We start from the raw sequence: 9,253 nt of genomic DNA, 5'->3' as shown, positions 1-9,253 counted from the left end.
CAATCGCCGAGGAGCTGATGGGTCGCGACCGGAAGTTACATAGGCTCGCTGCGTCTCCACGATCGCGAGAAGCCACCGGGAGGTGGGGCTAGCTCGGCTCCCACCCCTGGGCGGGCTGTACTTTTCCGGCCTTTAGTCTCCCGCCGGGCAAAGGGAATCGTGGGGGTCCTTAACGTTGAGGCGCCACAGAGGGGTTTCTGCTTGTGGACGAACCTTTTATAGCTCCCTCTACGGAGACCAGAGGGGACGAATCTAGCATCCCCCTTGACTTGTGTCCCTTACCTATTCCCAACCATAAAAAACAAAGCCGCGGACACGGAAGGGAGGCGACCACCCCGCTGGGGTGCTGGGGTCGCCAAGTTTCAGGTTCCCTCTCCGGGTGGGGGCGGAGTCGGTTGCCGTAGCAACGGAGGCTGGGGCCTTGCCTTTATAGACTGCATCAGACTTGATCAGGTTATATTTTCCACTGTTTCATGAACTGCTTTCATCTGCCCTGTTAACCAAACCCCCGAGACTCTGTTAACTGTAGAGGCATTTGAACTAATAAAATATATTCAGAATCTCTGGTGTTTGAATGTTAACTTTCTCCCCCTGTTTAAACAAATAGGCTATAAGCACGCATTCTTAGGAAGATTTCAGGCCGGCGTTGGCGTACTCACATAGCTTTTCTTGGACGAAAGTGTGTGGTAAATGCAGTCACTTTCATCAGCAGACCTTTTTTTCAAATTTGTTTCCCCAACTTCCCAGTTTCTGGTGACCTCTCAATGAATGGCTTACCCTGGATTGTGTCTTTATGCCGTAGGCATTATCACTGTAAGTATTTGTGGAGTATTATTCTTTTATTACAGTAAAAATTATAGAAATAGGCCAGGCGCGGTGGCTCATGTCTGTCATCCCAGCACTTTGGGAGGCCGAAGCGGGTGGATCACCTGAGGTCAGGAGTTCAAGACCAGACTAGCCAACGTGGTGAAACCCCGTCTCTACTAAAAATACAAAACTTAGCCAGGTGTGATGGCAGGTGCCTGTAATCCCAACTACTTGGGAGGTTGAGGCAGGAGAATAGCTTGAACCCGGGAGGCAGAGGTTGCAGTGAGCTGAGATCATGCCATTGCACTCCAGCCTGGGCGACAAGAGCGAAACTCTGTCTCAAAAATATATATATATAGAAATAATTTAGGTTAGGACCATAAAACTTGTCTTAGGATATTGCTTTGTAACAGAGATAATACATAGCACTCCTATGTGCCAGAGATTCGTTGTTATTATTCATTATATAGAATTAAAAGATCCAAGGGGGCAGTTTTCATTTCCTTTCAATCAGTTGTACTTACTGCTGTATCATCAGGGGCCTGATGCATGGGGCATATATGCTCAGTAAGTATTTATTTAAATGAATTAATGTTCTGGCACTTTATCTGAATCATCTCATTTCATCCTCACTGCAACACTATGAAAGAGACGCAATTATCTTCAGCATCTTACAAATCCTAAAAATGAGGCAAGAGAAATACAAACTAAGTACTAAGCCCCCCAGCTGACTGAACGGACTCCCTTTTGGCCAAGGGGACCCAGAGTAACCTTGAAAACTGAGTTCTTGCTTTGCCTTGTTATATCCCCTCCCTCACTAACCAGGATCAGGCTTTCTTCCCTAAGGGATAAATAGAAACCATCCCTTTCAAAAGACTCCACCACTGATATCAGCCTGTTGCTGCCCTCCGTTTTGTGCGTAACAGACTACCCACTATGGAATGGTTCTGGCCAATCTACGGAGCAGGCACAGTAAGGGTTTTATTGGCCTCTACTTCACCTTTTGACATCAGAGGCTGAAAACTCTTCAGATCATGCTGATGCCCCATTGTTTGTACCTAGGACCCATGAAGGGGCAATGAAGCTCAATTGCACATGTACATGTTTCTCCTTTCATAAATATTCATGATTCCTCCTATAGCTTATTAAATATGTATATTCTGCCACCCTGCTTCCTCTCACTTTGTCCCTCCCTCAGAATGTATGTTTTTGGCTTCAGGCTGGAGGCTACGCTTCCCAGCCTGTCAGGCCACTCTGCAGGCTGAAACCCTTATGCACCTCATCGTTCTTTAGGTCAAAAGCATAAGAAAGTTACCTTCTGATATGGTTTGGCTGTGTCCCCACCTTGGTTTGGTTGTGTCGCCACCCAAATCTCATCTTGAATCATAGCTCTCATAATTCCCATGTGTTGTAAGAGGGACCCAGTGGGAGATAATTGAATCATGGGGGCAGTTTTCCCCATACTGTTCTCATGGAAGTGAATAAGTCTCATGAGGTCTGATGGTTTTGTAAGAGGTTTCCCCTTTCACTTGGCTCTCATTCTCTTTTGCCTGCTGCCATGTAAGACATGCCTTTCGCCTTCCACCATGATTGTGAGGCCTCCTTACCACTTGGAACTCTGAGTCCATTAAGCCTCTTTTTCTTTGTAAATTACCCAGCCTCCGGTATGTCTTTATCAGCAGTGTGGGAACGGACTGATACCCTTTCTTAAGGTCATATCACTAGTAAATGGCAGAGCAGAGATTTAAACCTAAGGAGCCTAACTAGAGCCTGGCCACCTAATCATGTTGCTTGTTTGTTTTTTTCTTCTGAGTAATATTCTGCTTTGTTTTTTCTGAGACAGGATCTTGCTCTGTCAACCAGGCTGGAGTGCAGCGGTGTAAACATGGCTCACTGCAGCTTGACCTCCTGGGCTCAAGCAATCCTCTAACCTCAGCCTGCTGAGTAGCTGGGACCACAGGTGTGTGCCACTATGCCCGGCTAATGTTTTTATTTTTTGTAGAGATAGGGGTCTCACTGTGTTGCCCAGACTAGTCTTGAACGCCTGGACTCAAGTGAGCCTCTCACCACAGCCTTCCAAAGTGTTGGGATTACAGGCCACTGTGGCCAGCCTGCTTACTTTATATATTTGTCATTCTAAACACTAAACACACAGTGCTAAGCACTTTTTATTCATGATGTCTAATTCCCTCAGCAAGCCAGTGAAGTACAATTAAATGACACTAAACCAATCTTGCAGATGTGAAATCTGAGGTTCAGAGAATTGAAGTTATTTACTTAAGGTCACACAGTAAGTAGAAAAGCCTAGAAGTGTAGTCCATCAGGCTTGTTTAGGAAGGCCATTCCCTTATCCATATACTATACTACCTCCCTGAGGCAGTCAACCAGCAAATTTTGTTCATCCTGCTTTCTAAATATCCACATGTATCACTTCGTTATTCATTTTATCAAATTTATCATTTTAAACTCAAGTCACTTTCCTGTATAAAATCCTTCGATGGGCCAGGCGTGGTGGCACACACCTGTAATCCCAGCACTTTGGGAGGCCAAGACAGGCGGATCACCTGAGGCCAGGAGTTCAAGATCAGCCTGGCCAACATAGCAAAACCCTGTCTCTACTAAAAAATACAAAAATTAGCCAGGCATGGTGGCACACACCTGTAGTTCCAACTACTTGGGAGTTTGAGGCAGGAAAATTGCTCGTACCCAGGAGGCAGAGGGTGCACTGAGTCAAGACCATGCCACTGCACTCCAGCTTGGGCAACAGAGCGAGACCCCATCTCAAAAAAAAAAAAAAATCCCTTGATGTCTACCCTTGGGCTTCAGGATAAACTATTTTTGCAGAGCAACCAAGATTTTATATCTTCTGGTCTCCAGCCATCAGTTTAACACTATGTCTCCTTACTCCCCCACATTCCACTCATGATCCAGCCCTGTGAAACTGTGCAGTTCCCAAATGTACCTGAAAGACATTGGCTCTCTCCTGCCCATCTAAAAGGCTCTTTCTTTCTCTCCTCTCCTTGTTTGCCAAGTCCTAGTTTAGCCATCTGTTTTTTCTGGCTGAACCCAAGTCTAGCTGAAGCTAAGTTGACCCAAAAGGGGTAGGAGGGGAATTCCTGTGAAGGACTGCCCCAAACCATCCCGAGATGGGGCTGGACAGAATTCCAAAGAAAGAAGCAATAAACGCTGGGGTGATCAGTCCAAAGCATTTATTAGAGAAGTTACATACAGAGTGCTTAAGTGGACAGGGCGAAAAGAGATGTTTCTACGTAGGTATGCCAGCAGTGAGAAGTCAGGTTATGGAGTTTGTGAGGGTTTAGGGAATTTGGCTTAGGGCTGGGGCTAGTTTCTATGTGTTTAGTAACATATTTTGATCTTTCAGTGTTTGAAGCAATAGCCTACACAACTTTATCAGTGCCTGGGAATGTTCAAGGCCCAGGCTTAACTTTAAGCCTACAGGGGGAAAAAAAAAACCCATGCAGCTGGCCAGGTCACAGAGTGGTCGAGGCACTCTATGTTAGTCAGGACACAGAAAGAAAGTGGGGGGCTCTGAGGGACCCTACACCATCTCTGCCTCTAGGAAACATTTTCATACTCTTCAAAACTGGGGATCATTCCGAATGTTCTCACTGTATCCTGTACACACTACTCTACTCAGTTATGCTGAATTGTGAATTCTTATTTTCATCTATCTCTAGAACCAGACTGCAGTCACCTACTCAAAAGCAAGGATCCTTGTCTTGCTGACTTGAACGTCTTTAGGGCCTAGCATAGTAAAGGCTCAATAATAATTGCACTGTTCCAAGTATTTTACCTACATTTACTCATTAAATCCTTATAGCAGATTTAAGTAGACATGCAATTACCCTTTTCTACTCAGCAGAGATTACAGAACAGAAAGTTAAGTGACTTTTGCCCCAGGGTACAAAGTCCATAAGTGAGGAAGCCAGAATGTGAACTCAGTTGTAGCTTCGGAGTCACACCCTACCATTACAGTACTGTACACCCCGTTTCAGAAAACCACCTTGTTACAAAATACTCCAACATATAACATGAGCTTATATGTGTCAGAGACTGTTCCGAGTGCTGTCTTAATGTAGAAAAATGTTATTCGCCTCCAGTGAAAGCAAAAATAATTGAAATATTATAGTAATGATAATAAATTCAAGCAATACTTCTACTCTTTTAGTATGCTCTAATTACTGGTGTCCATGTTAAAGTGATTAAACAGAATTTCTGGCTTAGTCTAGGCTTTGAATAAGTTTTTAAAAATTTTTTATATGGAACTAAGCCATTGAAATTATGGTTTTATTCGCATTCATATCACATTCACTGGTTCTCCCTCTTCCGTCAACATCACTCAAGGAGTCCCAAGCACCAGGAAGCCAATGTACACAGAAGTGCCGAGAAAACTAATTAGAACCTGAAGCAGTAACTTCTAGGAGTTATAAATTACATGTTTGAAAATCCTAATAAAGCTTATGGAGGTACTTATTTTATTTTTGTGTTTTGAGATGGAATCTTGCTCTGTTGCCCAGGCTGGAGTGCAGTTACATGATCTCGGCTCACTGCAACCTCCGCCTCCCTGGCTCAAGCGATTTTTGTGCCTCAGTCCCTCAAGTAGCTGGGACTACAAGTGTCCACCACCACACCTGGCTAATTTTTGTATTTTTAGTAAAGATGGGATGTCACCATATTGGCCAGGCTGGTCTCAGACTCCTGATCTCAAGTGATCTCCCCAACTCAGCTTCCCAAAGTGCTGTGATTACAGGTGTGAGCCACCGCACCCAGCCGGTACTTAGTTTATAAAAAGGAAAAGTGCAGCAAAATGGATGTACCAGGATGTTCAATGTAACGCTGCTGGTAAAAATAAAACAATTAAAATTTCATTAGTGAGCCCGTTGTGGTGCCCAGGAGTTTGAGTCCAGCCTAGGCAACATAGCAAGACTCTATATCTTAAAAAAAGAAAAATTTCGTTAGTAAAGGATTAATTAAAACAAACAAACAAACCAACCAACCATTCATACAACGAGCTACTGTGATGCTGGTTTAATTTAGATCAAGTTTTGTGTTTTTGAGATGGGGTCTTGCTATGTTGCCCAAGCTGGTTTCAAGCTCCTGGCCTCAATTGATCCTCTTGCCTCAGCCTCCCAAGTAGCTGGGACTATAAGCACATCACTGTGCCTGGCTTCTTTTTGTTAAAAATGTATGAAAAAAGAAAAATATGTTACAAAGAAATATCATAGTGCAGCCAGGCACGGTGGCTCACGCCTGTAATCCCAGCACTTTGGGAGGCCGAGGCGGGTGGATCACGAGGTCAGGAGATCGAGACCATCCTGGCTAACATGGTGAAACCCCGTCTCTACTGAAAACACAAAAAAATTAGCCAGGCGTGGTGGCGGGCGCCTGTAATCCCAGCTACTTGGGAGGCTGAGGCAGAAGAATGGTGTGAACCTGGGAGGCGGAGCTTGCAGTGAGCCGAGACTGCGCCAACGTGCTCCAGCCTGGGCAGCAGAGCAAGACTCTGTCTCAAAAAAAAAAAAAAAAAAGAAATATCATAGTGCAAGTGTAAAAAAAATCTGGGAGACTATGCACCAAATTGTCAACAACGATTATTCACAAAGAGCTGGGATGGGATTGCAGGGAACTTTCAGTGTCTATATGAGATATTTCTTCAATGTTTATGTGATTAGAGTGAAGACTTAAAGTATTACATTTGGTTTTATATGTATATATAAAGTAGCAATACTTAAAAATAAAAGGAAAGAGGCACTAATATAATTTGGTTCAATAAATATTGTTGAACGATAATGCTCTTCATAACTGGGGCTCATCCCGAATGTTCTCACTGTATCCTGTGATCACACTACCCTGCTCAGTTATGCTAAGTTGTAAATTCTTATTTTCATCTGTCTCTAGAACTAGACTTCAGTCACCTACTCAAAAGCAAGGATCTTTGTCTTGCTGACTTGACTTCTTCAGGGCCTAGCATATTGAAGGCTCAATAATAATCGCACTGTTCAAAGTGCTTTACATACATTTACCCATTAAATCCTTATAGCAGGATTTAATGTCATGGCTCTCATATATAAAGTGAGCACATGTTAAAGATCTTATTTTACACATGATTAATGAAGGAACCAGTAAGATGTTACAATTAGTTCAAAGGACAATCCAAAGAACAGAAACATTTATAGAGCAGGAATATTGTGAAGAATGTGCAAATGGAGACACAACTTACTTCTTCCACGATGAGGGAGGGAAGTGAGTTGAAATCTCTACTGGACAGAATTTATGTAGATGTTTAGAGACAAGAATTGTTTTGCATGACTGTCAGCTTTCTGAAATTTACAATGTTGTAAAATAGCTCAAAGATAAGGAGAGGCACAGAACCCTCATAAAATCAGAATCAAAAGGTGTGCTTGTCTCTACAATGCATCATTTCTCACGAAGCACAAATTTTCCCCTACAATATTAACTGATGACAGTAGTATGCATTGTATACTAGCTGGAAGTAGTCTCTGGCATTTGTTTCATTCGTATTATGCAACTCGGGCTAAATGGACCTCAGTTTACTTACCTGAATGTAAAATGGGAATGATATTAATACGTACCTTCCAGAGTTGTTGTTGGATTAAATGAGAGGATGGGTATGAAGTACTTGGACCTGTGCTTGGCTTCTAGTAAGCATTTGATGAACGTGAGCTACTGTCGTTTTCTCAGCTGAATGTAGTTATTCACCTCACTGCATTGTACTTCAGGACGATCGTTTCCTGAAACAGGACCTTCAGTATCTAGGATGCGTCAGGGGGCACGAGCTTTGCTTCAAATCAGGTTCACTTCATGAGAATCTGTTTGCTTGCACATTGAACCAACGTGCAAGCAATATAAGGCATTTTTAAATATAATTTTTGCTTTACAACTTACCCCCCTACATAATGTAGTATTCCATTTTATTTAAAGTTAAGCTATCCCATAAAACTCATTAAAATTAAGACAAACATCCTAAGCACTTAGATGATGAATAAATGATTTGATTTTGCAGCCTTGGAGACAAAACCCGGCAATGAGAGAATAGTTTATTAGATTTTTATTGTAGTAATTTCTTCATGGTCTTAAGCTACATTGTCTGTTGAAGAGGTTTATCCACTTCCACAGCTTCCATTACACGTGCTGCTGATTCTCAGCTTCCTATCTGTAGCCCAGACTTTTTTCCTGACTTTCAGACTCATATATCCAACTGACTACTGTACATCTATCCACATGTGGACGTCCTAACAGAAGGCAATTCAAACAAATTGAATTGCATTTCCAAATTTGAATGCCTCCCCTTTCTGTACTTCCTATGCTCTCTTGCTCTTCCCTGCCCTCCAATCTAGCCTCACATCAGCCTCAGCGCTGCTGTTTTCTATTTCAGCAAGTGGCATCACCACCATCCGCTCAAGCCAGTCACATGATAGGTATAATCTTAACTTTTCCATCTCCTCCATTTACCATATGGAACAATCATTTCCACTTCATAACTGTCCTTTGAGTCTGTTTATGTCTCTTCATTCCAATAGTTAATACCTTGTTTGGGGCCACCATCACCTCCCAACAAGATTATGGCAGTAGTAATGGCCACCATGCTTCCAATATTGCTTCCTCCGATCTAATCCATTCCTTCAATCCAATCCACTGTGGCCAGGATGATTAGGGCAAATCTGATGATGTTACCCCTGAGCTTAAAATACTTTGGTGAATCTCTATTGTCTCAAGGATAAGTTCTAAATTCTTTGACAAGGTTTCAAAGGACCCTCAAGATTTAGTCTTCGTTTATCTCTTTAGTCTCATTACAGCTTCTATCTTTGGCTCAGCTTTAATACTTAATTGTGCCATTCTGAGCACAACTATAGAGTTCTGGTCACAGGAAAAAATCTAGATTAGACATTGGTATGGGATAAATGTGCAATCTAATTAGATGCCATGGCTGGGTGTGGTGGCTCATGCTTGTAATCCCAACATTTTGGAAGGCCGAAGAGGAAGGATTGCTTGAGGCTAGTTGTTTGAGACCAGCCTGGGTAACCTAGTGAGACCTCTGTCTCTATAAGAAAGCTTTTTAAAAATTAAATGTCATTTAAATAAATTATGTCTAGTTGGAGAGAGAGAATATGGAAAAAATGCAAAGTCTCAAGTAGGCCAGTGAAAGATTGTTGAAGGAAATTAACTGCAACTTGAGAGTTCCTTCTACTTTTCTACATCTTGTTTTCTTTTTTCTTTTAGAGAAAGGGTCTCACTCTGTCACCCAGGCGAGAGTGCAGTGTTGTGACCATAGCTCACTGCAGCCTTGACCGCCTAGGTTCAAGCAATCTCCCTGCCTCAGCCTACCAAGTGGCTGGGACTATAGGTACGCCACCAGGCTTGGCTAACTTTTTAAATTATTTGTAGAGTCAGGGTCTTGCTATGT

The 9,253-nt window shown here is 42.7% G+C and overlaps 1 annotated feature.

Moving 5' to 3' along the window:
* Positions 125–174: an enhancer, noted in NCBI's record as "active region_25204". NCBI's record gives its function as "activates an Ori minimal core promoter by ATAC-STARR-seq in GM12878 lymphoblastoid cells {active_cell/tissue: GM12878}" and the evidence as "EXISTENCE:reporter gene assay evidence [ECO:0000049][PMID:35858748]".

The sequence above is a fragment of the Homo sapiens genome, chromosome 6 (assembly GCF_000001405.40).
Source record: "Homo sapiens chromosome 6, GRCh38.p14 Primary Assembly".
In the NCBI taxonomy this organism is placed as follows: domain Eukaryota; kingdom Metazoa; phylum Chordata; class Mammalia; order Primates; family Hominidae; genus Homo; species Homo sapiens.
The sequence above is the reverse complement of the archived record's forward strand: the minus strand, read 5'-3'. Positions and strand labels throughout refer to the sequence as shown.